Below are 27788 nucleotides of genomic sequence, written 5' to 3'. Positions count from 1 at the left end.
GGGGCTGGGGCCTCTCGGGACTTATCAGGTGCACCCATTCACTGGGCTTCACTGTATGAGATGGGGCTCAGCTGGAGGCAGCAAGTGTCGGGGGAAGAAAGGGCTGATTGAATTTGCTTTGGGACCAGCTCCAAGTCCTGCAAGGCTTGCAAATGTTTAGGGGGAGATTTCCATATCACTCTAAAGTTGCTTGTCTTTCTCCCAAAGGGAAAGGCTGCTGCCAAAAGTGGAGGACTTAAAGCTGGAGGCCGCCCCAAAGACGGGGAAATGAAGAAAACGCCGTTTCTGGAGCTCCCTGAGGTGAGTGTGTGCGCGCGAGTGCACGTGTGCTAGTCTTTGGCTCCTTGTTAATTCCCTATAACAGATCACAGTGCCGAGGAGAAGCCAGGGCGTCTCTAGGCATTTGGCCAGCAGGAGGGGCACAGTGTGATGCCTGGAGGGGAATTCTTGGAAGAAAATGGAATGCTGTAAAGTGGGAATCTTGGGTACTATGGGATGACAGGCGGGGCAGGGCGGCCGCGAGTTTGGAGTGAGCGTCCGTGAAACGAAGCAGATGAGGAAATTCAGCAGGAGGAGTCTGGATGGGGCTATTCACAGTTAGCTCTGCTGAAATCCCTTTAGGAAGTCACTTGCTGGCTTCGTCCCACATAGTTTCTAGCCTGTGGGTGGAGATCATGATCCTTTTGGAGCTCTCTGGTTCATAATTCTGTGGAGGAGGAAGATACCAAGATGAATCAGCTGCTGTCCCTGCCTGTGAAGAGCTTGTGGCTGAGCGAGGGAGACAGGTGCAAGGCTTGGAGAGACTGTGATATATCTGCCATGTCTGACTTGGTGGGAGGAAGAGCACATGACTTCTGAGGTCCTTTCTAATTCTGAGGTTCTGGGTCTTTACAAAGCCACGTCAGTGAAGTAATTCATTTATTTCTTTGATTATGTAGCAGTTACATGTTAAGTACCTTTAATAAGCCAGGCCCTGGGGCTATACTAAGAAAAAAGACTGACATTCCTCTACAAATACGGAGTTGAGAGTTTTAACAGGTTTTGAGGAGGTGGTTACAAGAGCGTTTGGTATAAGGAAGGATCAATATACATGACACCACACTCAGGGGATCCTCCTCAGGGTGCTCCGGGATGGCTTCTTAGAGCAAGTGATGTTAATTCATACCTGATGAGGATTGGCTGGGGGAAATGGGACAAGAAGGTGTTTCCTCAGTGACATCTTCAGGGAACAGAGAGCAGGGTGGCTGGAGAGGGAAAAGCTGGGGAGAAAGTGAAGACGGATTTAGACAGGAAGGGAAGCAGAAGCCAATTACATCTGGCTTTGCCCTGGATTATCTTTATCTTCAGAAAGGGGAAGTGATGAAAGGCTTTAAGGAGGAAACCATGACTCCATCAGGTCAAAAGTCACTCTTCAGAGAGGTCTTTTCTGACTGCTTCCATTGAAATTGTGTTTCCCTGATTAAGCAATCTCGAAGTACACAGAGCTTTTCCTGCAGAGCACTTACCCAACTTACAATAAAACTCTTTTTCATGTTTATTTTTTTAATGGCCGTCTCTCCCCAACGCTAATGCAAGGATCGCTGCGGCTTTCCTGGCCAGTCTCTGGCCAGTGCTCCTCCCACTGGCTGACCCCTGTGGAGATGCAGTGATGATGGGTGAACACAAATTGGGTTGGTGGTGTTTAAGGATTCTTCCACCTGAGTTGGGAATAGCTCTTTCAGAAGACCAGGTGAGAGGGAAATGAAGGTTGAAATAGGTGAGAGGCGGCAGTGACAAACGGAAAGATGCGGCAAAAACGGAGAAGCCTTCAGCGGGGGTAGAAGCCACAGGATGTCGCTGTAGGGTGGACGAGAGGAAAGGGAGAGGGATGATGCCTGGGGTTCTGGCTAGTGGATGAATAATGCTGCCATTTATTGAGAGGAGAGCTCCAGAAGAGAAGCCTCTAAGTGATTGGGGGGTGGAGAAGGTGAGTTCTGATCAGGGCCAGCTGCCCCCATGGCCAGCTTCAGGGTCACATTTGGCTTCTTTCATCTTGCACGTCAGCAGTCTCCTCACAAGCTCTATAACTGTCCCCACCCCCATCCTCTGTATGAGGCTACTTTTCCATCTGGCTCTCATATGTTCGTTGAGTTTGTTGTCCATGACAAGAATCCGATGTGAGCAATTACCTTTTTTTCAACTCTTCAGGTGGTCACTCAAGAAGTAGTGTGGGAAAGACCACAGGAGACTGATTCAGCCTCACGCACATTCCTCATTTCTGTGCAGGCTTCTGTTCTAATTCCTGCCCACTTAAACTAGGTTGATGGATGGGGTGGGGAAGTATGTGTTTTATCCAAACCTTTCTTGAAATCCTGTCCTGCCCACAAACCCCTAAAAGGGATCCTTTTTTATTATAAAGCGAATTGAATTAGAAGTAGGCATCTACCCAAGGCCAGCAAACCCATGGACTTAGCAGGGGATAATCAGATACTCTCAGAAATTTGAGCGGAGACACGGAGATGTAGTCAGTGTAGGGTCTTAAGTTGAAAAGCCAAATAGACCAGGGGCTAGGGTGCTTTGAGGGCCCGTGAGAATATAAGACCCATGGTGGAGAGATGAAATAAGGTAATCAATTTATAGAAAGTAGACATTCGAGACCAACTGGAGGAAGGGAGAGAGGAGACCACTTTCCAGTTCTTACGGGGTCCAGCTATATTTCTTTTCATGGGCATGAAGGACCTTATTCTTTTTCTCCTCACGTGTCAACTGCGACCTTTAGAGAATGAGAATTTTACCACTTCTCCCTGTAGCAGCAAGCTTGGGACAAAGCTTCCACTTTTTGTCTTTACCTATTTATGTTTTTTAATTTTAAAAGAATTGTGGAATGTTGCAGATGTACAGACAGATAAAGAGAATAATGGAGTGAACACCTGTATTCTCATCAACTAGATTTACCAAATCTTAGCATTTTCCCTATCCCCATATTTCACTGAAGTTCCATGCACTTCTCCTCATTCACATTCTCTTCTTTCACTTTCTCAGAGGTACCACTGCTCAAAATCTGTTTCTTATTAAATGTAATTTTCCATGTTTAACATGCCCATCGACATTATAAAGTATTGTTGTTTCTTGCTGTTCAACTTTATATAATTGGTTTTATTCTGTAAAAATGACGTAACTTTTTCTCACTCAACATTATATATTTTAGATTTGTCCATGTTATTAACTGTAGGTTTAATGTTTTCTTTCTTTTTTTTTTGAGATGGAGTCTCACTCTGTTGCTCAGGCTGGAATGCAGTGGTGCGATCTTGGCTCACTGCAACCTCCACCTCCCGGGTTCAAGCGATTTTCCTGCCTCAGCCTCCCGAGTGGCTGAGATTACAGGCGCACACTACCACGCCCAGCTAATTTTTTTTGTATTTTTAGTAGAGATGGGGTTTCACAACGTTGGCCAGGCTGGTCTCGAACTCCTGACCTCATGTGATCTGCCCACCTCGGCCTCTCAAAGTGCTGGGATTACAGACATGAGCCGCCACGCCTGGCCGGTTTAGCCTTTTCATTTTCACTGCTGTAGAGTATTCTGTTGCATGAATATATCACAGTTTATCCATTCTTCTGTGGATGATCTTTCAGATTGTTTTCTGAGTTTTTTCAATTACAGAAAGTGTTACAGAAAATCTTCTCATGCACGCCTCCCAGTTCACACACATGGGGCTTCCCTAGGGAATGCACTTACAACTGCAGGTGCTAGATCTTAAGGCTGTGCACATCTTCGACATAGCTAGATTTGGCCAAATTCCTTTCCAAAGTGGTTGTTCTGATGTTGCCTAGCTGCACATTCCAATTGCTCCATATTCTCACCAACATTTGGTATCGTCAGGCTTTTTAATCTTTGCCAAAGATGGATGTGAAATAATAGATCACTGCTGCAAATTGCATTTCTATGATTAATAGTGGAGTTGGCCATATTCTCACACATTTCTCATTTTTGCTTTTTTTCTTATGAATTGCCTCTTGATTCCAGTTGCCAATTTTTCCATGGTTTTTTTTTTTTTCCCTTTTGCTTCTTGAGTTGGGATTTTAATATATTCTGGATATAAATATTTTGTTAATTATATGTCTTGCATATGCCTTTTTCTTGTATGAGGTTCTTCTTTTCAATTTGTGTACAATAACTTTTGATGTTCATAGTGTTTCCATTTTAATGTGAAGGCCTCTTTATGGCTTGTGTTTTTTGTGTCTGATGCAATCCTTCCTTCCTTACCCTGAGGTCATCTAGTGTCTTGAATTTTTGTCTGAAGGATTTTAAAGATTTGCTTTTGCATTTAGCTTTAAAATCCATATGGAATATACCTTGGTATGGGGTGAGGAATATAATTTGTTTTTCATCCACGGGAGCACCTAGTTGTCACAGCACCATTTATTCATTATCCCATACTTTACTGAGTGCCTTATGTCACCTCTCTGTCATGTACCAATTTTCATTATATTTTAGGTTCTATCTGTCAGCACTCCATTTTGTTTTACCTGTTCTGCAGCAATGCCACACTATCTTGACTATTGCTTCATGATGTCTTAATATTTGATTTAATAATTACTTTCACTTTGTACTTCTTCAAAAATTTTAGTCAATTTTTGTTATTTTGATTTTCTGTCTATACTGTAGAATTAACTCGTAATTCTTGAAGACCCATGTTTGCTTTTGATTGTATTATAAATTATATTTACAGATGAATCGATTTACAAAAACTTTATAGATTAAGTTGAGAATTGACAGTTTCATAATATCATCTTCCCACCTGTGAAAATGACATACCTCTTTCATTTGTGTTTTCTTTAATATGTTTCAATAAAATTTTATTATTTTAAGCAGAAATGTAATATGTATCTTTCGTTATTATTCCTCTACACCATTAACATTTTTGTACTCTTTCATTATCTTTAAGAATTATTAAATATTTTTAAAATATCCTTGCTGTTATATAGAAACACAATTGATTTTTATAAATAGATTATATCTATGGCAAACTTGCCGAACTTTCTTATTGGTTCTGATTCTTTTCTATTTATTAATTTTTTCCCAGGTTTAATTCTTTTCTTTTTAAAAATTTTTTTTGAGTGTTACCTTGTTTTTTTTTTTTAATCTTCTTGATACTTAGGTATTTTTTTTCAATCTTTGTTTTCTAGTAAATGCATTTTAAAGCTATACATTTACCTCTGAATACAACTTTAGCTGTGTCTTACAAGATTTAATATATTACGTTTTTAGTGTTCAGTTGTTAATGTCTTATTAACAGTGACTTACTATATTCAAAGGGTTATTAAGCAATGGACTGAAATTGGCAGGGTGCAGTGGCTCACGCCTGTAATCCCAGCACTTTGGGAGGCCGAGGTGGGCAGATCACGAGGTCAGGAGATCGAGACCATCCTGGCTAACATGGTGAAACCCCGTCTCTACTAAAAATAAAAAAATTAGCCGGGCGTGGTGGCGGGCGCCTGTAGTCCCAGCTACCCGGGAGGCTGAGGCAGGAGAATGGTGTGAACCTGGGAGGCAGAGCTTGCAGTGAGCCGAGATCGTGCCACTGCACTCCAGCCTGGGAGAAGGAGCAAGACTCTGTCTCAAAAAAAAAAAAAAAAAAAAAAAAAAAAGAACGGACTGAAATTTCTAACGTATGTATCTTTAGACTGTCTTGGTTTATCTCTTTATTGCTAGTTTTTGTTTAATTACAATTTGGTAAAAATTTGTTTTATAAGATATTTATACTTTAAAATTTTCAGAAATATTCTCTGTGCTAGTTCAAGTTCTATTTTTATGAAAGTTTCATGTATGTTCTTTGTTGGCACAATGCTCTATATTTGTGTCTATTGGCTCAAACTTGCTTACTTTGTTGTTTGCATCTTCTGTAATGTTTTTTGAAAAAACAGTCTTATTTAGGCAGAGTTGATAAACGCAAAAACCTCCTGCCCATGTTTAGTCTACACAATTTGATGACTTTGAACTTATTATGCATACATGCATGATAGCATCACTGAATCAAGGTTGTAATATATCAATTACTTCCCCGAGTTTCCTTGTGTTCCTTTGGGTGCCTGTGTGGGAGTTGCAGGACTCAGAGCAGCTAACGTTGTGGACTGGGTGTTAGGAGTCAGTTTGACCAGATGAAGAAATCCCTAGAGACCTGGTAAAGCCCTCCTTTGGGTGCGCCTTGTTTTAAAAGCTAAAAACAGCTAAAAAAAACAGCTAAATAAAAAAGCCAAAAAGCTAAAACAGATCTACTTTTTAAACACATTTTTAAGTGCACAATACTATATTGTTAATTATAAGTGCCATGCTGTACAGAAGATTTCTAGAACTTACTTATCTTGCATATTTAATATTCCTTTTGATAACCAAAACTTTATAACTATTGAGTAACACCTTTTCATTTCCACCTCCCTCCAGCCCCTGGCAACACCGTTCTGTTCTCTGCTTCTATGTTTGACTACTTTACGATCTCATATAAATAAAATCGTGCAGTATTTGTCCTTCTAGGACTGGCTCAGTTTACGTAGCATAATTTCCTCTAGATTCATCCATGTTGTCACAAATTGTAGGATTTCCTTCTTTTTTAAGATTGAATAATAGTTCTTTGTATGTTTATACTTAATATCTTTATTAATTTAATTTACTTTATTTACTCATTTTGGAAGCAAACATCCTAAAATCTCCAAGTATAATTGTAAAATTGTCATTTCCTATGTGAAATTTTGTTGGTTTAAAAAATATTTTGGGGCTAAATTATTATTTGCACAAAACAACAGAATTGTTATAACATCTTGGTGAATTGTTTTGCTGATCACTATTCAGTGGCCCATTATGGTAGACTGTATCATTGTTAAAATATTTATTCCCTGTGCTAAGGGACGATTGTATTTCCCTTCTCCTTGACGTAAGTGTTAGCTGTGTGACTTGGTTTGGGGAGTGACATCTGAATAGAAGTGAGAAGCATCACTTTCAAACAAAAGATTTAAGAACCAGAAGTTGGTTCATAATATCTTTTTCTTTCTTCTTCCATGAGACAGTATTTGTTTTAGATAGAGACGAGTCCATCGGGTCGAGTGCAAGGGTCAACATACTGTACAGCAGAGCTTCCCCACTCTGAGATGGATGTGTTGCATGAGTAAGAAGCAAGTCACCGAGATCCTCTGGGTTGTTTGTTATTGCAGCCTAACCTAACCGATCATGACTAATACTTCCAATTCATTCCTACTAATGCCTTTGCCTTAAGGTCAGTTTTGTTTATCAGTATTATAGCAGCTCCAATTTTCTTTGAAGTCGTATTTGCCTGGTATATCCTTTTCAATCTTGTTCCCTTCGGTTTCCCTTCAATTTCTGCATGTCTCCCGTAAACCACATTTAGCTATATTTTGTTAGAGTGTTTTATTCCATTCTGGGATGCTCTTTCCATTTAAATTTATTGTTTTTACTAATGTATTTCTTCTGTCTTATTTTGTGATTTCTGTTTATTATTCTTTTACTTTTGCCTTTCTCCTCCCATCATTTACAAATGGGTGTAGTGGGACAAATAGCCTTCAAAAAGATACATCCTCTTCCTAATCTTCTGAATCTGTGAATCTTGCTTTATTTGGCAAAAGAATGTGATTAAGGATCTTGAGAGGAGAAGGTTGCCATGTATTATCTAGGTGGACCTTATATGCAATAACGTGTATCTTTACGAGGAAGGCACACACAAGAGGAGGTGGCACTGTGACTGTGGAGCAGAGACTGGAATGATGTAGACCCAAGTCAAGGAATGGTGACAGCCACCGGAAGCCGGGAGAGATGAAGAACAGGTTCTCCCTTAGAGCCTCCAGAGAAAGTGTAACCCTGCCAACACCTTGATTTCGAACTTCTGGCCTCCAGAGATGTGAGAGAATAGGCTTCTGTTGTTGTAAGCTACACAGTTTGTGGTTATTTGTCAGAGCAGCCCCAGGAAATGAATACAACTAGCAATAATAGTGTTCTTATCCCACAGGGTTATCGTGAGGATTAAATGAGATAATTCAAGAAAGGGGTTATCAGTGCCTGGCCTGCATTAAGTGCTCAGTAGTTGTTAGCTATTATTCTATTTATTATTTTTTGTTAGCTATTACTCTATTTATTATTATTATAGTTGTTAGCTGTTATTCTATTTATTATTTTGAGTAAAAATAGGTTTTGGTCCAGTTCTGTAGAAGAGCCTGAAATGTTGACTTTTATGCAAGGTATTTATTGAGGGGGTAAAACCTGTAAGAGAATGAAGGAAGCAAGATAGGGAATATAGTAGGAAGGAATGATATTCGGCTTCCCCAGTACCAAATCTGTGTTAGCCAGGGTTCTCCAGAGACAGGTCCATTAGGATATGTGTGTATGTATAGACAGATAGATAGATGAGAGAGAGAAAGAGACAGAGAGAGAGAGAGAGAGAGAGAGAGAAATTCAGAGAGAGAGAAAGAGAGAGAGAGAGGGAGAAAGGAGAGTGGACTTATTAGGGGAATTGGCTCACATGATTATGGTGGCTGAGAAGTTCCATGACAGGTCATCATCTGCAGGCTGGAGACTCTAGGTTGGCTCAGTCCAAGTCTGAAGGCCTCAGAGCCAGGGCAGCTGATGGCGTAACTCAGTTCGAGGCCAAAAGCACTAGGACCCTGGGGGGGCCACTGGTGTCATAAGTTCTGGAGTCCAGAAAGCAGTGCATTTGGAGTTCTAACGTCCAAGGCAGCAGAAGAAAAGTCTGTTCCAGCTCTCAGAGTAAAAGAGCAGTTCACCTTCTGTGGTTGTTCTCTCTGGGCCCCCAGCTGACTGGATGGTACCTGCCAGCACTGAGGGCAGAGGATCCCCCAGTCCACCTAGACTCACACTCCAGTCTCCTCTGGAAACACCTCAAGATGCACCCAAAGGAGGGCTTTACCAGGTCTCTAGGGATTCCTTCTTCTAGTCAAAGTGACACCTAACATCCAGCCCACACGTCCACCCCTTAACAACCTGGCACCGATACACACCTCCTTAAACCTTTCTTAATTTCCGAGTAAGACAATAGCACGGCAATAGTGCCACCTAACATGGTGAAACCATTCTGCATACAACTGAAAATGCTCCACTCTTTCCCCAGAATTCGGCTTTCAGGATTTCAACATTTGGGATTTTAATCTTTTGGGATTGTGATTTTTGGGATTTTAGATTTGGGGATGTTGCTCTTTTGGGATTTCAACATTTGAGACTATGGAATTTTGGATTGTGTCTTTTGGGATTATGATCGTCACCACAAGACAGGGCAAGGGGAGAGCCTGACGCTTAGCTGCAAGGCAAAAGCTGGAGTCCAGCCTCGTCATGACCCAATGGGGGTCGCTGAGCGCAGCCAGCGTTGTCCCATCTTCAGGCAACAGAGCCAAGCTTTTCCACTCTTGTATCGATTAGTCATTGTGTGGGGGCAGTAGGGGATGGGGTGACAGACTGTGGGGTAACATGGCCCCTTGTCATTCCAGTGAGGCGGGTTATGGTCAGCAGCGGCTGGCAGCCTTGCTGGTGAATGAATGGCACTAGACCTTGGAGTCCACCTTGCAGGCAGCCAGTTCTGGCTTAGTCAGCTTCATGCAGCTCATTAATTCCCATCAGTAGCCCCTCCTTTCTATGTGCAGGGAGCCTGTCCCCTGCAAGGCCTCATGTCCACAACTGTTTCATTGCCCTCCTTCTGCGCTGCTCTTCTTCAATTCCCTGTTTCTGTTAGTGGGCACCACTAGTCCCCCAGTGGTCCAGGCTGGAAGAATCAGAGTCACCTTAGCTTCCTTCTCTGACCTCGTCTGCCTGATCTAGTCCTGATCTGTGTGCAACCTTCCTCACCTGTCACCCCCTCTCCTTGATGCCAGACATGGCCTAGCCTCTCATTTCTGCTCTCCCATCCTGTTAGCAATAGGTCCTACCAGGTCCCCCTGCCCCCTTCTCCTCTTGTCAGTTTTCCCCTTCTCTCACCCCTCTTTCAATCTATCAGCAAAACCTTTCGGCTCCCTTTAAAGATATCCTCATCTAGCCAGTGCCCCTGGCCTCCGGGGACTTTGCCTCTCAGAGGCTGGACAGCAGCGGTGGGCCTGCTCCTGCTCCCCTAGGATTCATCTTAGCCTGACTGATCAGTAATTTCAGCACTCTGCCTTACTTAGAAATCTCCAGGAACTTCTCCGTGAATTTACAATAAAATCCAAACTACTCTCCCTGGCTCTCGAAGTCCTAAGAGATCTGCCCCTGCTAACTTCTCTGACATCACTCCCTCCATGGTCCTCACTCCCTCCATGGTCCTCTTGCTCACACCACTCTACCGCACTGAAGCCTTGCCTTTTCTCACCTGCCACGCCATGTCCATGTCAGGATCCCTTCCTATGCCCTTGCCTGGAAGGCTCCCCCAGGTCTCTGCATGGCTTGCCTCCTCTAGAGTACAGGTCTTCGCTCTAATATGGCTTGCTCAGAGAAGCCTGCTCTGACCCTTCAACTTAAAACCATTCTCCCCTAATTTCCATCACTCTATCTTGCTTGATAGTTTTTCCTTTATGATACATCACTGTCTGAAATTATCTTGTTTATTGATTTTTTTGTTTATTGTTTTATCTTCCCCTAGAGTAAAAGTATGAGGTCGGAGATTTCAGCTTGTATGCCCAGCAGCTTAAACTGTGCCTGGGTTTACATGCTGGGTTTTTAGTAGATATTGAAGGAGCAAATGGATAGTGTTACTGAATTGACCTCCTGAGAGTGAAGCTTTGAGAGCGTCTGATCCGAAAAAAGGCTTTTCATTGTCCTTCAAGATCCTTCAAAATCTGGCCCAAACTTTCTTTATATTCTTATCTTGCATGACACTCTTTCCTATCACTTTTAATCTATCTAAAGTGGGCTTTGTTTTCCACTTTCTCGCTGCTCTTTCTCACCTTGGGATTCTGTTCACATCAGTTTCTCTAACCAGCAAGCCATTCCCCTCGTATCCTCAGTTCCTCTTAAAATAACGCATAGCCCATCATCTCCTCTTCTGTAAGGCGGTTGCCTTTGCACATTCCCTTGCCTGGAGAAGCCCTTTTTTTACTCTGAATTTCCATGAGACTTGCACTCTTTTAGGCTGTGACTTGCAGCATTGTACCTAGTAATGTTAGTCATTCACTATATCCTCAGTATCTAGCACCTGCCGCATAGTAGGCACACAATACATATTTGTTAAATGGGTGAATATTATAGTTTTGTTATCTTTTTACACTGTAAATGTCATGGAAGGGTCTATTTTGTTTATCTGTGTAACCTCCTACAGCATCTAGCATGCTTGTTGAATGAGTGAATAAATGAAAGCTATTATTCCCAACTCCAGGTGTAGTTCAACTCAAATAATGAATAAATCTCCCAATTGTCTGGGCCATCTTTTGACATTCCTCCTCCCTTTGGGCACATTGTTTTGTTTACATCCCCATGAATGCTGTGTTCAGAATAGCAATACTAGCAACTGATGATTGTGGTATGCGGAATTCTAAGAGAGCATCTGCCAAGATTCCGAGCCGTTGGCATAACCATGTTTTCCCCATTATTTTAAACATTAATCTAGGTACTTCTGTGCAACGGATTTGCAGATATATTTAAGGCATTGAATCAGTTAACTTTAAGTTAGGGAGATTATTCAGGTGGGCTGGACCTAACCACTTGAGCCCTATAAAACCAGAGAATTTTCTTTGCTCACACACAAGAAAAGAAGTCAGAGATTTGAAGCATTAAGGAATTGGATGCACAAGTATTTCTCTGTTGCTAACTCTGAAGATGCAGGGGACCACGTGATAAGGGATGTGGGTGGCCTCTAGGCCCTGAGGGTGACCCCCACATGACAGCTAGCAAGGAAATGAGGACCACAGTCATACAACTGCAGAAAACTCAATTCTGCCCAACCACAGGAGCTCAGAAGCAGATTCTGCTCAGCCGCAGATGGAAACCATACCTGAGGCAACGCCTGAATTTCAGTCCGGTCAGGTCCTGAGTGGGAACCCAGCCATGCCATGCCCAGACTTCTGACCTACTAAAACCTTGTGATAATAAATCTATGTTGCTTTAAGTTGCTAAGTATGGCACTTTTTGTGACACAACCATAGGAAACTGATACAGTGATGAGGATGAAGGCATAGAGAAACAACCTTCAAGAAGGACTGGACGAAAGAAAGAGCAACAGCAGTCCCCAAGTTTTGCATCTCTGTCTTATGACTCTGATTCTTCAGCTCCAAGCTCCACAACCACTAACAACTACAGGTCTTGATTCTGTCCCTGGCCACTCAGGTACCCTCTAAGAAAGAGGATTGAGACATGATTAATAAATGAATGTCTTCTTTTTGTCTGGCTTTTGCTTTTAGGCTTAGAATAGAGGTACATGCTCTTTTTCCACTGATCCCCCCTCTAATAAGCGTACCAACCTGAAACAATTGACCTTAAAAAACAAAAATAAGTAACCAGCCCCCAGAGCCCTTGCAGTCAGCATTAGCATTCTTCAGTCTCCCTGGGTTGTGTCCTGGGAGTCTCGGAGAAATGAATCTTATTATTAGTCTGATGCCAGTGACTGCTCCTGACAGCTCCCTCCTCCCTCCCGCAGCTGCTGCGCCAGCACAGGTGTCATGAAGCTGATGGCTTCTCTGGCGTGGGAGGGGGCGGGGGAAGGTGCATTGAGCCATCAGCTCCAAGCCCGGTATAGGCTCTTGGGAAGCTTGACTCCCACTGAGGGCTTCCACATGTCAGAGGAGCCCCCAGATCTGTGTTCCCTGGACTTTCTCAGGCAGATTTCCCTGGCAGAGTATAAGATAGGTCATTCAGAGGTCTTCAGCATCCCACCTGTTAGTCCTGAGATCTGTCCTCCACACAGAGGCATGCATAGAGTGTATGTGTATATTTTTTTAAATTATGAAGTGAACACATGTGTAAAAAGTAATCATGAAACAAACATTGTTAGCACCTCGGAAGGTCTCTCATTTTTCCCTTTCCAAACACAATCTCTTCCTCCTCACAGACAGAGATAATCACTATCCTGAAGTTCACGAAAATTACTTCCTTGCCTCTAAAAAAATCCCTCTTTTTGATACCCGTGTATGCATCTCTAAGTAGGGGTAGTCTTACTATGCCTGTTTACAAACTTTATGGAAATGGAATGTGTGCCCTCTTTTGCATCTTGCTTCTCAGCATTATATTTTTGAGATCTATCATGTTATATCTTAACTGTAGGTTGCTCATTTTCATTGCTAATATTCCATTTTCTGAATATAGCACAATTTATTTATTCTTATCATGATGGTCGTTTAATTTAGGTTGTTTTTAGCATTTGACTATTTAAGCTGCACTGCCATGCACATTCTGGTACACATGCACCTATTTACACAGGCAGTGGTTTAGCCAGGCCACATGCGAGAGCACAGCAGTGGGTGGGTATGGTGTGTATGTATCTCCAACCTTATGGAGTATGTCAACCTGCTTTCCAAATTGAATTCAAATGCATCCCCCCAAACAGCGGATTTAATTTTCTGATTCTGTACATTTTTGCCAGCCACAGGTATACTCGTTTTCTTTTGCTGTATAGCAAATTGCCACAAGCTTTATGGCTTTAAACAACTTAGGTGTATCACCTTACTGTTTGCCTGGGCCACAGTCTGGGCACAATTGAATGGGGTCCTTTCTTCAGGGTCTCCCCAGGCTACACTCAAGGTATCAGCCTGGGCTGGAGTCTCATCTGAGTCTCAGGATTCTCTTTCCCCTGGCTGTCGGCAGAATTCAATTCCTTGCAGCTGTAAGACGCACGGACACTGCATCAGCAAGGCCAAGAGAAGCACGCCTCTCGACGTTTTGCCGCCTTCTGAAGGCCCCATTGATTAGGTCAGGCCCACTCGGCATAAACTCCTTTTTGATTAACTAAAAGTTGATGGATTGTTAATCTAATCACAGGACTGCTATCCTATTCACAGATTCTGCCCACAGTCAAGGGGAGGGGATTACACAGGACCTGTACATCATGGGGTGGGAATCTTGGAGACCTTCTCAGAATTTTGCCAGCCACACTTGGTATTCTCAGATTGTTTAAGTGTCAGCTACTAGATCATGTAAATTTTTGAATATCTGAAGGTAAGCAATTTTTCATGTTTATTGATGACTTGCATTTCTCGAGGTGTTTATTTCGTATGCTTTGCAGATATTTCTCCAACCTGATTGAGCAATATTCTTCAGTAATAAAATAGTATCATAGATAACACTTATTGAGTGCTTATCCTTTGTCAGCCATTTACATTCATTACCTCTTTTAATATACTTAAAACACTCTGAGTAGGTTCTATTGATTTCTCCATTTCATACATGAGGAAATTGAAGCTCCAAGGAGGTAGGCAACCTAACAAGGGCGTGTGGTAGGGATGTCACCGATCTGATCTTTGAACCAGCTCAGTCTGACTTCAGACCCCATCGTCTTAAACTCTAAGGGAACCTAGCATGCTGATACAAGGGATAAGGGGATTTGCTCCCTGCCATGATAGGCAAATGGTCTCATTTCTTTTATGACAAAAATATTGCTCATATGAGTGAAAGCCTGACCCTTTATATTTTCCAGGTTAAGCCCTGCCTCTTCCTCTTGTTCTGTGGCCTCTGAGCTAGCTGCTTCTCTCCCCTCCAGTCTAGCCAGCACACTGCTGTTACATGGATCTTCTCCAGGCTTCAAGTGCACATGTCTGACCCTACCCAAATCTTATGGGACAAACTGGGACTCTGGCCTCTAAGTCCCTTCTCAGTCTGACCCCAAATTCCTTTCCCAGCCTCATTTCCCCAAACCCGCTTCCCTGGCCCTTGGAAATCACCAGAGTATACACAGCCCCATGCTGTACTCAAGCTTTACCCCTAATTGGGAGCTCTAGTCCCCTGCTGTCCTCCCCATCCCCCGCCATTCTACTCATCTCTCAAGGCCCACTTCAATTTATATCTTGTGAATCAGTCATCTTTTAACCTCTCTCTCCTACAGAGATCTTTCCCTCCATCTTATGAGTTCTCATAACATTTATAGTTTTTACCCTTTGACACCTGGTCAGATCTGCCTTGATAATACTACCTAATTTTTTACGTGTCTCAATAAAATCACTTGTTCATTGCTGATTGGTTATCTCCTGAATGGTTTTCAGTCCTTATTTTACTTGAACTTTCCATAGCATCTTAACCTAGGAAATGAGGACTCATTCTGGAAATTTACTTCTCTATTGGTTTCTAGGACATCTTTTTCTCTTAATTTTCTTCCTACTTTGGACAGTCCTCTTTGTCCATATCCTAAATGGCTGTTCTTTGGGATTCTGTCTGTGGCCCTTTTCCTGGCTACTTCTTTGTATCATAGCCCTGCTGCACTGCCACCCCATTGGACTCCCTCTCCCACTGGACTCCCTGAGGTCAAGCACGGTGTCCGGTCTTTATTGCATCCCTGGGGCCCAACCCAGACACTTGCAGAGCAGGTACCTTGCTTTATGTGGTTTGTGAGTTCCCACAGTCTCTCTGACATTGCATTGCATGTGGCAGGTGGTACTCATGGACGGCTGAGGTGGGACTCATGGTGAACGGATGCGGACAGAGGTACAATTCCTTCAGGAGGACATCCCCTTGGGAATTCCTTTTTCCATTTTTTGACTTGGGGTGTGTCTATATGGGGAATTCTAGTTGTCTTCAAATAGTTAAACTTTTAGACAACTCTTTTGCCTTTAGTTCAGTTCATACCTTTTGAATTCCCTCAGATTTATTCTGGTTTATTGCTTGTAAGATAGCTAGTGCTCTGTCTCTGACCTAGCTCCGAAAACCAGACATGGAAGCGTAAATCAAATAACTGATATTTGGACACTGAGTTTCTGTCCTCAAAATGTTTCTACATCTCCTCATTTGGTCTTCATTAGAATACTGAATGTATGAATTCATTTATTAAAAAGGTTTCTTGATCTAGGCACTGTCCAGGGTGCTGGGGGAGCCATGGAGAACCACTACCACATCACTGGCTTTAATGATTTTGCCAATGCACCTGCTGCCCTTGTTCCCATTTGAAGCTGAGGACAGGAAGGCCCTGACAAATTATAAGTTTCCTATGGTTACTCTGTTGGTAAGTGAAGGATCAGGAACTTGAATCCAGACCTTCTTACCCCAAGTCCATATTTTATTGTATCAATTTTCATGGCTAAAAGACCTGCCAAACCCTGAAGGTCAGTGGAAATGTGTTTTTCTTGCCATGAGTGGTTTGCAAGTTTTGTCATTTCCTGAAAGAGAAACAGAGGAGCAACAAGAATACTGTTTGAAGCAACACTTAGCTTTTTCTCTCAGGTTCTTTCACGTTGAATGGCCCAGGTTCCAGGAAGATTTATTTTATTTTTCCATTAATGATCCCAGAGCTCATCCAGGCCTGAAGGACTTGAAAACCCTGACCAGAACCCCTGGACCCCCCAATCTCTGACCATAGGCTGAGGGTAGGGAAGTGTAAGCAGTTTGTCTCCCATATCCTGCACAGCTTGCACACTTACTGCCTTTCTCTGAGTCCTGGGGGCCTCATTGCCTGGATCTCCACCCCTGACCCCGCTAACTTCCCTCAGAAGAAAGCAAAGGTTAACTGAGATCACACAGCCAGGTGGATGCCTGGATTCACTTTCCCTGGGGCTAATTATGGAGCTACATTAGATAAAAGTCAACATATGTTGTAAAAGGCACTGTGTATCATTGCTTGACAGTTTCCAACAATGTGCTCATGTAACAGCTGTCAAAGGCAGTGCTAGAAAATGAGGAATATGTTGATTTATGTATATCAGATCTGTCCTCACGCTCTGTAGTGGAGCGGACCAGGCAGGCTCAGCTCTGTGGGTGGAGACTCCAGGAGGGGCGGCCAAGAAAGGAAGGAAATTCCCTTAGTTCAGAAGTACCTGGAAGGGATGGCTGAAGCCTGAAGCAGCTACCACTTGCTGAGGTCCTTTGCAGTAAAATTGCCTAGGGGACATCTGTTCCCTTTTTACAATAGAGAGAAAAGTAAAATCCATCTCCTAAGGAGCGGGGGCTGCTAAGGTAACCTCCTGTGCTGTCCTTGGTCTCTGGATGGGACGTAGGGTCACACTACGGAGGAAATGTCTGCCCCATTTTACATGGCTTTTGGGAAATGGGGTTTCTCTTAAAGTAACTACTTTGAATTTTCTTTATAGTTAGGGCGTTTAAAACAATTAGTTAATTAATTTAAAAGATGTTTAATTGACAAATAAAGATTGTATATATCCAAGGTGTATAACATAATGATTTGATATATGAATACATGGTGTCATGATTGCCACAACCAACTTAATTAACATTTCCATCACCACCCTTGCTGATTTCCAGCGTCTGTTTATCTCGTGACTGAAGGTTTGTACCCTTTGACCAAAATCTTCCCATTTCCCCTATGCCCGCAGCCGCTAGTAACCACTGTTCTACTCTCTTCTTCTATGAGTTTGACTTTTTAAGATTCTATGTGTGGCTGGACGTGGTGGCTCATGCCTGCAATCCTAGCACTTTGGGAGGCCGAAGCGGGTGGATCACCTGAGGTCAGGAGTTCAAAACCAGCCTGGCCAACATGGTGAAACCCCATCTCTACTAAAAATACAAAAAGAAAATTAGCAGGGCGTGATGGTGGGCACCTGTAATTCCAGCTACTCAGGAGGCTGAGGCAGGAGAATCGCTTTAACCCAGGAGGCAGAGGTTGCAGTGAGCGGAGATCGTGCCACTGCATTCCAGCCTGGGTGACAGAGCGAGACTCCGTTTCAAAAAACAAAATGAAACAAAACAAAACACCACAAGATTCTACATGTAAATGAGATAATATAGTCTTTCTGTCTCTGGCTTATTTCACTTAGCATGATGTCATCTAAATTCACCCCCGTTATTGCAAACGACAGGATTTCCTTCTTTTTATGACCGAATGGTATTCAGTTGTGCATAGATACCACATTTTCTTTATCCATTCATATGGCGATGGACACTTAGGTTGTTCCCATTTTATCTTGGTTGTTGTGAACAGTGCTGGAATGAACATGGCAGGGCAGGTATTCCTTCAGCACACTGATTTCATTTCCTTTGGGTGTAGACCCAGCGGTGGTATTGCTGGATCACATGGTAGTTCTATTTGTAATTTTTTGAGGACCATCCGTGCGGTGTTCCATAGTGGCTGTACCAATTTACATACCCACCAACAGTGTGCCACAGCTTTCTTTTCTTGACCTACTTGCCACTGCTGATCTTTCATCTTTTTGATAAGAGCTATTCTGACAGGTATGAGGTGATATATTTCATTGTGGGTTTTTATTGTTTTTTTGGACAGCGTCTCACTTTGTCCCCCAGGCTGGAGGACAGTGGTGTGGTCTCAGCTCATTGCAACCTTACCTCCCCAGCTTCAGCAATTCTCATGTCTCGGCCTCCTGAGTAGCTGGGATTACAGGCACGCACCGCCACACCCAGCTAATTTTTATATTTTTAGTAGAGGTGAGGAGGTTTCACCATGCTGGCCAGGCTCATCTCAATCTCCTGGCCTCCATCTGTCTTGTGTTGGGATTACAGGCATGAACCACCACACTCAAACTCATTGTGGCTTTTTAATGAGCAAACTCAATTTTTTAATTTGTTTTGTATTTTTTCCCCAAATTATGTTAAAAGAGGAAATCAAACAAGTTTTCTCTTGCCTTTAAAAAGCTGTCTCTGTTTTCTGTGTGGTTTTCTCTCGGGGCCATGCAAAGGGACCACTGGTCTCAGAGGATCTGATTATTACGTAGAAAGTCACTTTGGTGTTACTGTTGGAACCCCCACTGCATTCCAAATTTATCATGGGCTTCTCTCTTTGTCCTCATTTTTTTTTGCCTTTCCTACACAACAAGCTCAGTTATAGCTTCCCCCTCTTTAAATGGTAAGAAGTGACTTAGTAAGAGCATTAGGCTTGAAGCATAAAGCAAGCCCCTGAATACTAATGGAAAATTCAAACTCTTAAATAATTACCACTAAACTTGTAGTTCTGGGGAATCTTTCACTAATAAACCAAAACAAATACTTCTGCTTACTTGTTGATGTTTATTGGGACAAAAACAGAAACTCCCTATGTACTTCCATAGCCTCCAGCACAGTGTCTCTGCGGGTGAGAAGGGGGCGGGATTGCATAGTGCACCTGGCTTTGTCTAAGTTGGGACTTGTGGTTGGTGAAGTAGCCTGGAGGGCCCTTACTGCAGGCCAGAGGGAAGAGCAAGCCTCCTTTCCCCTCTCGAGGCTTGTCTGTCCTCCATCCGGTTGTGGCACCGATTGTGTTGATGAGGATTTGCTCTGGTTCCTTGTTTACACATTCTGCCACCACTGTGCTGGCCACATGCACCATGGGGGATGTCAGATGTCCCCCAGTGCCACCCCATACCCAGGCCCTGGATGGTACACCGTGAGGCATGTCCGCATTAGGCAAATGCTCCTCTGACTCTAGATCTGCTGACCTCCCAGGAGGCTTCCAGGTCATAACCAGGTATAGCCAGACTCCCACCACTGAATCGATTTCTAGCAATCTAGGTAATAGAGAAAGCCACTTGCAGGTTCCCACTCTCATCACTGAGATGCTGTGGGGACAGCTGATTGCATAACCAGCCAATGAAAGCTTCACGGGCACTGCACATTCATTAGTGAAGGTTCAAAAAGAAGATTCACAACACACCAAGGGTAATTAACGTAGCCAATTCACAATTTTAATCTGCAAAAGCAGGTGTGCTCTGTCCAGAATAAGTGAGGAAGCGAACAGCAGTGAGCTAGCTGCAGGGGCCATATGAGCTTTCAGCCAGTGATCCGTATCTTTTCTTGGAGGGTGCATCCTTTGGGATCGCTGCATCTCTATTAACCTGACTACCAAGAATGAGTAGAGAACTTGATTTATAGGTGGTGTGAAGACCATCTTAGCTAAGCATGAAGAAATTTCAAGAGCAGTTGTGAAGAATTTATTGGAGCAGTCTTGTAAAAATGTATCTTTCTTTATTAGTGATCAGAAAAACATTTTAGATAAAAGTGTTCTATTACTTTAAGACGGAAAGGTAGTGTGGAGTGGTGAGAAGAACATGGAATTCAGAAGCAAAGAGTTAAGGGTATTTGTTTATTAGCTGTGTGATCCTGAGCAAGTTAATCAACATCTCAGAGGCTGGGCTTTTTTTCATCTGTAAAATGGAATAATCATAGCAGCTTTATGAAATTGTGGTAAAAATTAGATAATAAATATAAAAGTACTCTTTAAACTTAGTATACATTTATATTTGCTGTATTTCCTCACTTGTAAGACATATTCCCCCCCATGTTTTAACATTTCTAAAATCAATATGTTTCTTATAATTGCTATGTATATTCAGTGTGGTTGTTCTTTCCTTTCTCCCTGGAAAGTTATTAGATTGATGGCATGTCTTACAATCAATGACTTCTTAGAGACATAAAAATATGGTAGTTCAATAAAATGAAAATAGTTTTATCTGGCTCTGGAGGTCAGATTTATTATTTTTCATTTGGGTGTTTACAGTCATCTATTCATGTGGCATAGGTCCCATTTATTAAGTGCGTTTCATTATTTGCAACAAAATAGTACCTAATGCACAGGCTTTTTTACAGAATTCCCATTTCCTCTTAATTATATTTGGTTTTGTAGTTGGAACAACACTGGCTTGTCAACATTACTGATGGGTGAGTTAAGGGATGGCAATGATGGGGAAGTGTATGTGTAGCAGAGGTGCCTCAAGGATAAGGTCTCGCCATCATTACTGGTGGAGGTCAGGGACAGACTCTTAGCTTCTGGGTGTACCATCAACCCTAGTCCAGCACTTGCTTGACAAACTCTTAGAGACTCCAAAGAAAAAGCCCTATAAAGTGGAAAGTTTTATTATTATTAAAAGATAAGATTACTTAGACACCAAAATGCAGTTTTCTTTTTTCTAGATTGATTTTTATTAACTTGAATGAAGACTCTTCTTTATACCTGATTGTGCCATTTTATTTTCAAAAACACACACACTGTATTGACAATCTTACTCCCTCATTGAATTTTCTGCAGGTTTTTGTTGTCTTTTATGAGGCTATTCCAGTGAGGGAAAAAGTTAAATGGAATTTATCGCAATATATTTACCTGGCTAGGTTGTAACTATTTCTAAAATAAATAAAACTTTTAAGACAATAGAACTGAAAAAGTGCAGCTATCCATTGAAGGCTTCTCACCTCCCCTTGGGAGGAATAAAAATGCATCCCACTTACTGCATAGCTTTTTCTAGGGCCCCTTTTGTTTTTCCCAAATAACCATTGTCTAAATAGAATGGCTTGTATGAGATTGTACACCCTGTGGATGGTCCTATAAATATTCATTAGTAAAATGTACATAAGGCACTGATCCATAGGTTTTTTTATTCAAAGATATCGTTTCAGTGGTAAAAGTTCAATTTTGATCTACTGGGTAGAGTCAACGCAGGCTGAAATCATGATCCTGAATTCCACCTCCTCCCATCCTTTCCGAACCTGAAAAAAATATTAACAACTTTGGCCCAAACTGAAGCCGGGAAGACATGAAAATGAAGCAATAAATGCTGTTAGACGCCAAGTTCGGAATTCATCTGCTCCTGTTGAAGGCCTGATGGTGTTTGCAATGCAAATCTCAGAGTCATGCCTTCATCATTGCCGCAGGGAGACAATTAGGGTTAAAATATAGATTTCTAGATAACGAGGGCAAATAATAAAGAAATAAATACACAACACAAAAAGAGCTAATGTGCCTCATTTATAGCAATACTTTCCTCAAGGAGGCCTGAAGGGATTTCTAGCTGGAGGATGGGCTTCCTGGATGTGGAAGAGACTCCAGCTTTTATGAAGGAAAGATGAGGATGGCCTCCCAGGACCTCGAGCTCAAGTTGAGGGCCCCTAAAATCAAGGCAATTGAGTAGTTTTACATTTTATATTTTATACTCTGGCGGTTAAAAACACAGGCTCTCAAATCAGGCCCATGTTGAACTCTCAGCTCAGCCAATTAAAGCTCTATGACCTTGGGCGAATCACTAACCTTCTTTGAGAACTAAGACTTTAAGTTTCCTCATCCAAAGGGCTATGATTCTCCTTGGTGTGTTCCGAGGACTGAATGAGAGGATGTGTATAAAACACTTAACGAAACGATCAATCTTAGCTGTCATTATTATTAAAATCGCTGGCCGCACCAATCACGAGTTTATTTTCTTCTGAGAGACAACCCATGAAGCCAGGCTTGCCGGCCGCCCTTCCTTCAGCCCTCCGTCCTGTTAGAACGTTATATGAGAATGGGCGCTGCCCATGACTGTTTCGTGGGAGCAGGTGGACGGCTGCGTCTGGGGGAGCATGGTAAGCTCCCCTCTGGCCCAGCTGTGGTGACAACAGACTCCTTCGGGGGTCCTGCAGCAGTCGCTCCCCTCAGAGAGCGGCACTTCCCGGCGGCTGCTGCGCGCGCAGCGTCGTCACGGGGCTGGAGTAATTCAGGAGCACGAGCTCTGGCCCCGGCACGGCCCCAGCCCGCCCTGCGGTGTCGCCTTTCCACGCCTTCCTGCCTCCCCGGGCTTCGGCTTTGCTCCCGGGCTGCAGGAGCTGTGCGGGGCCAGTGGCTGTCAACCCTGGCTGTGCGTTACGGTCACCACCTCAGCCCAACTAAGTCGGAATCTCTAGGGTGGGGTCTGGGACTTCTCAAAAGCCTCCCAGGTAATTTTTTTTTTAATGTGCAGCGAGAACCGAGAGTCTCCAGACTAGCTCGACTGTTCCCAAGCTGCGCTTGTCCGGAGCCGGGGCCGCTGATGCGGGGGGCTCGAAGGCCTCACTTCAATCAGGGCTGCTGCTCTCGGAGCGGATGCCGGTTTTCTGCTCAAGATTTTATGAAAGGAAGGAGTTCTGCTGCTACAAACCAAATCGAAAGCTTTGAAAATTGTTGGACTCAATGGTGTCTGCTGCTATTTGGCATTAGTCTCGTGATCTGAAACCTGACTTATTCTGGAAATTACTATTTCTTTTCATTTCTCATCATGGAGTCTAATAAATCCCCTTATATTTTAAGGGTCATCTTGAACGTACCCTTAATAATAAAGTAATGAAGTTTTGTTTTAATAATTATTAAAAGCATCAATATAATATGCTAACATTTAAAAATAAAAAGTCATATCCTGCTCTGTGAATACGTCAGTAATTTACATAGACTGATTGAATAAAAATTTGGAATTTAAAACAGATGTTCTGTTATTTTCAGATGCCAACTGGAAATAAGGTTGTATTTACATATAAGCTATATATCCATATTTAAGTGAATATAAGTTATTTACCTTGTACTTTCAGCATCTGTGCATCTATCCATGTGTATATTCATTCACTTTTTTCCTTCAAGAATTACTCCCTATTGGAGGTTGGCTACAAGACTTTGTGCTATGGGAGGTGTGTGTGTGTGTGTGTGAGATAAATGCTTATGTGTATGGATATAGGCTTATAGATAAACACAGGAAAATATACACACTTATGTCAAGTGTGTGGCTATAGTTGTCAAAGATGCACATTTATTTCTAGATGCTATGGATTCAGTTTCCTGTTGACTGAATAAAAATAGTTTTCACAACTATTTTGGAAAAAAGTTTACAACAAATTTTATTCTCTTCACTTGTGTAGTTCAAGATTCCTGAAATATATTCGGTTAGAAAAAAAATAACATCAGATGAAAGTACAGATATATTAGGGACATACCTGAAAGAGTTAATATAATTAGAATGAATAATCACAAAATATGAAATAAGGACCCAATGTTAATAAATGCAGATGCCAACTAATCCAGAAAAACGTGTGTAATGGGAAAGGAGAGAAAGCAGTTGGGTTTCAGAGAAGCCCAGCTGTGTTTTTGGGTGAATTCAGATTCATCACTATTTTTCAAACCTGGGGATGTTTTTTCACTGATGCCGGGACCCACATCTCCGACACTAAATTGGACTATCGGGGCCTGGAATCTCAGCGTCAGTGATGAATACTGTGCCCAGGTGACTGTAATATGCCGTCACAGTGGAAAATGACTGAACCTTCAGTGATAACTGGAGTTGGGGCATATTCCACACGGGAGTCAGGCCTGTATGCACACTATTTTTGCAAGAAGCTGGCAAATTCTACAAGGAGTTTTGGTGTCATGGGAGGTTAGTTAGGTTATAATTGGCTCTAATTGGCTCTCCCCACAGCTGAAACATCGTCTGCCTAGAGCCGAGTGACACTCCAAAAGGGGAGAGATGTGCTCCGACCTTTGAAAACATCAAAGAAGTCACTTCCAGCACAGCTCTGCAGCTCAGCAGCTCAGCAGGGCTAGGGCCGAGCCCAGCAAAACTGATAGGAAACAGCTTTTGCAGAATAAGATTTTTATCTTTCCTCCTGGAACAGCAGAGCAGGCAGACTCTCAGAAAAAGGCCTGGGGTGGGGAAGGAGGCAGAACCCTGACTTCTCAGCCAGCACCTGCTCGTTACCCGGTTTCACTACCGCGCAGTATCTTTTGGGCTTCTAATTCCCCTTCCAATGGTGAAACAAAACTCTATACATGGGTATGTTAGCGTGAATGAGTAACCCTTAAAACAGGAAGGGGTTTAATATTTATTATGTACCAGGTAATCAGTCTTCAGCAGTTAACATACTTATAAGGCATCCAGGGCCTAAGTTTACTCACGTCTCCAGTTTTGTCTTTTACAGCTCCATACACCAAACATATGGAATCATTTCCCTTCCCCTAAATGAGCCCTGTGTTCACATCTCTCTCTCATTATTATTAGTATTATTATTTGGTCTCTATTCTTCTCTGTGCAGTCAGCTCAGTGTGGACAGGGACTCTCATTAATTAATTAATCTCATAGCTCTCAGCAATGCAGTGCATTACTCACGGTGGCAGGTGTTCAAATATTTGTTGAATAAGTGGGAAAAGTATAATATGGCAAAGCCATGAGATAATGCCTTAATTTCCCAGTGGTCTGCCATCCAAGTCAGAGTGAGAAGATTCGAAACCCATGAAGTGCTTATGTTCCAGGTGATGACAGTCTCCTGTGGGAGCAAACACAAGAGTAATGACACGTGGAGCCCAGGGCAGCAGGGGTGCAGAGGAAGTTTCTCTTTCCTTTCCAGGGGTACATGTGGTAGGGAGCCAGCCTGGCATAGGTGGACAGAGCAGTACAGCCTGCTGTGAGACCCTGCGGGTGAGGAACGGGTCAGGGCTCGCCCAGAGCCACTGGGGACCCTGAGTGGCCAGAGGTGAGCAGGCCCAGAAGGCCAGTGGTCGATGTCTGAAGGAAGGTGCCAAGGATTAAAAATGAGAACTATATATTTACATTAAATCAAGGTTATTGGAAGGTGCTAGGAGTGGACTGAAATAGGAAGAGGTATGGTAAACAGGTAGACACAAATAAAGAAGATCCGCCACTGCCAGAAGCAGCCTAGGATGCTGGATGTCGCTGTCATGACCTCCATAGTGGGCGGGAGCACTGAATTCAAGGTTGGGTGGACTTCGTTCAGTCCCACCTCTGCCACCTATGAATTGTGGGCTCTTGGGTGGGACACTTTGCCCATCTACGCCTCTGAAAAACGGGGGTGTGACGCTTGCTGCAAGCACAGCTGAAACTGAGCAGCAAGGATCCCTGAAGTCAAAGGAGGCAGAACCTTTGAGCTAGGGCAGGCTCTTTGGCAGGTGGTCAGGAGACACTGCCCGCTGCCTGGCCACCTCTTGGACCTTCCCCTTCCATGTATGGCCTCCCCTCATGTTTGCAAAAGGAGGTCAGCAGCATCAACGGGTGGCAACGTGCTCCTTTTCTTTTTTTCTTGTTTTATAACCAACAGGACAAGGGGAGCAGCTTCTGTTCTCAGAATCCCTGAGCTGCGCTCCTCTGGAGTGTCACCCCCAGGCTGGAGGAGATGGCTGTGTCAGTTTCCCATTGCTGCTCTAACAAAGCGTGCAGATTCTGCAACTCAGAACCAGAGACGTCCATTGCCCCACAGCTCCAGAGACTGGAAGTATGGGATCAAGGTGCTGGTTGGGCCCCCTTCCCTCAGGCAATGCTAGGGAAGGATCTCTCCTGGCTTCGGGCGGTTCCTTGGGGTGTGTGGCATACCTGCCCCTTGCCCTCCCCCAACACCTGTCTTCACAAGACCCTCTCCCTGTGAAGCTCATTGTCCACATTTCCCCTTTTTATTTGGCAACCAGTCATATGGGATTACGGCATACCCTAATTACCTCATTTTAACTTGATTAACCTCTGCAAAGACCCTATCTCCAATGAAAGTCACGTTTCTGGGTACTGGGTGTTAGGGCTTAAACATATCTTTTTGGAGGAAGACGCAATTCAACCCATAACCACAGTCCATCCCTGAACTACATGCTGCAGAGGGAGAGACCTGGTTGATTGGCTTAGGTCATCTGAGAGGGATGCATGTGGGGCAGTGGTTCGCAGGGCCCACACTCTCCTCGCAGGTACTGGGAGAGTGACAGGAGCCCAGCACCTGGCATAGAGAAGGCTCTCAGAGTCTGGACTAGAGACTACATATTAGCTGTGTAACTTGGAGGAGCGTACTTACTCTCCCTAAACTTCAGCCGCAAAATGGAGATGACGCTACATGCCTGGAAGGGTGGCTGTACCAACCCAGCAAGACATCAGGCCTGGAGTAAGTGCTTAATAAATGGAATTGTCCCTGGTTGCTGTTGTTACGATTACTACTGTGTCCGGAATTGGTGGGTTCTTGGTCTCACTGACTTCAAGAATGAAGCCGCGGACCCGCGCGGTGAGTGTTACAGCTCTTAAGGTGGCGTGTCTGGAGTTTGTTCCTTCTGGTGTTTGGATGTGTTCGGAGTTTCTTCCTTCTGGTGGGTTCGTGGTCTTGCTGGCTCAGGAGTGAAACTGCGGACCTTTGCGGTGAGTGTCACAGCTCTTAAGGCTGCGCGTCTGGAGTTGTTTGTTCCTCCCGGTGGGTTTGTGGTCTCGATGGCTTCAGGAGTGAAGCTGCAGATCTTCGAGGTGAGTGTTACAGCTCATAAAGGCAGTGTGGACCCAAAGAGTGAGCAGTAGCAGGATTTATTGTGAAGAGCGAAAGAACAAAGCTTCCACAGTGTGGAAGGGAACCCGAGCGGGTTGCCACCGCTGGCTCGGGCAGCCTGCTTTTATTCTCTTATCTGGCCCCACCCACATCCTGCTGATTGGTAGAGCTGAATGGCCTGTTTTGACAGGGTGCTGATTGGTGAGTTTACAATCCCTGAGCTAGACACAAAGGTTCTCCACGTCCCCACTAGATTAGCTAGATACAGAGTGTCCACACAAAGGTTCTCCAAGACCCCACCAGAGTAGCTAGATACAGAGTGTTGATTGGTGCATTCACAAACCCTGAGCTAGACACAGGGTGCTGATTGGTGTGTTTACAAACCTTGAGCTAGACATAAATGTCTCCAAGTCCCCACCAGAGTAGCTAGATACAGAGTGTCCATTGGTGCATAGCCAGACACAGGGTGCTGATTGGTGTGTTTACAAACTTTGAGCTAGATACAGAGTGCTGATTGGTGTATTTACAATCCCCTAGCTAGACGTAAAGATTCTCCAAGTCCCCACCAGTCAGGAGCCCAGCTGGCTTCACCCAGTGGATCCCAAACCGGGGCCGCAGGTGGAGCTGCCTGCCAGTCCCGCGCCGTGTGCCCACACTCCTCAGCCCTTGGGTGGTCGATGGGACTGGGCACAGTAGAGCAGGGGGCGGCGCTCCTTGGGGAGGCTTGGGCCGCACAGGAGCCCAG

At 43.6% G+C, this 27788-nt stretch overlaps 1 long non-coding RNA gene across 1 annotated transcript, besides 5 other annotated features; it reads left to right on the top strand.

The window, feature by feature from the left end:
* LINC02743 (long intergenic non-protein coding RNA 2743) lies at positions 1-26706 on the top strand. The gene is made up of 3 exons (NR_120444.1): positions 1-28; positions 208-300; positions 25853-26706. It is a non-coding gene; the product is annotated as a long intergenic non-protein coding RNA 2743 (long non-coding RNA).
* Positions 244-910: an enhancer, noted in NCBI's record as "H3K27ac-H3K4me1 hESC enhancer chr11:133679362-133680028 (GRCh37/hg19 assembly coordinates)". NCBI's record gives its function as "activates a minimal SCP1, AML or CMV promoter by ChIP-STARR-seq in primed H9 embryonic stem cells {active_cell/tissue: H9 hESC(primed)}" and the evidence as "EXISTENCE:reporter gene assay evidence [ECO:0000049][PMID:30033119]".
* Positions 911-1577: an enhancer, noted in NCBI's record as "OCT4-NANOG-H3K27ac-H3K4me1 hESC enhancer chr11:133678695-133679361 (GRCh37/hg19 assembly coordinates)". NCBI's record gives its function as "activates a minimal SCP1, AML or CMV promoter by ChIP-STARR-seq in naive H9 embryonic stem cells {active_cell/tissue: H9 hESC(naive)}" and the evidence as "EXISTENCE:reporter gene assay evidence [ECO:0000049][PMID:30033119]".
* Positions 1578-2244: an enhancer, noted in NCBI's record as "OCT4-NANOG-H3K4me1 hESC enhancer chr11:133678028-133678694 (GRCh37/hg19 assembly coordinates)". NCBI's record gives its function as "activates a minimal SCP1, AML or CMV promoter by ChIP-STARR-seq in naive H9 embryonic stem cells {active_cell/tissue: H9 hESC(naive)}" and the evidence as "EXISTENCE:reporter gene assay evidence [ECO:0000049][PMID:30033119]".
* Positions 6495-7694: an enhancer, noted in NCBI's record as "CDK7 strongly-dependent group 2 enhancer chr11:133672578-133673777 (GRCh37/hg19 assembly coordinates)". NCBI's record gives its function as "activates an origin of replication core promoter dependent on BRD2, BRD4, P300/CBP, MED14 and CDK7 cofactors, with strong dependence on CDK7, by STARR-seq in HCT116 cells {active_cell/tissue: HCT116}" and the evidence as "EXISTENCE:reporter gene assay evidence [ECO:0000049][PMID:35650434]".
* Positions 22027-22557: an enhancer, noted in NCBI's record as "H3K27ac-H3K4me1 hESC enhancer chr11:133657715-133658245 (GRCh37/hg19 assembly coordinates)". NCBI's record gives its function as "activates a minimal SCP1, AML or CMV promoter by ChIP-STARR-seq in naive H9 embryonic stem cells {active_cell/tissue: H9 hESC(naive)}" and the evidence as "EXISTENCE:reporter gene assay evidence [ECO:0000049][PMID:30033119]".
* Positions 26707-27788: the final 1082 nt, after the last annotated feature.

The sequence above is a fragment of the Homo sapiens genome, chromosome 11 (assembly GCF_000001405.40).
Source record: "Homo sapiens chromosome 11, GRCh38.p14 Primary Assembly".
Lineage (NCBI taxonomy): Eukaryota > Metazoa > Chordata > Mammalia > Primates > Hominidae > Homo > Homo sapiens.
This window is presented reverse-complemented; position numbering and strand designations above follow the sequence as displayed.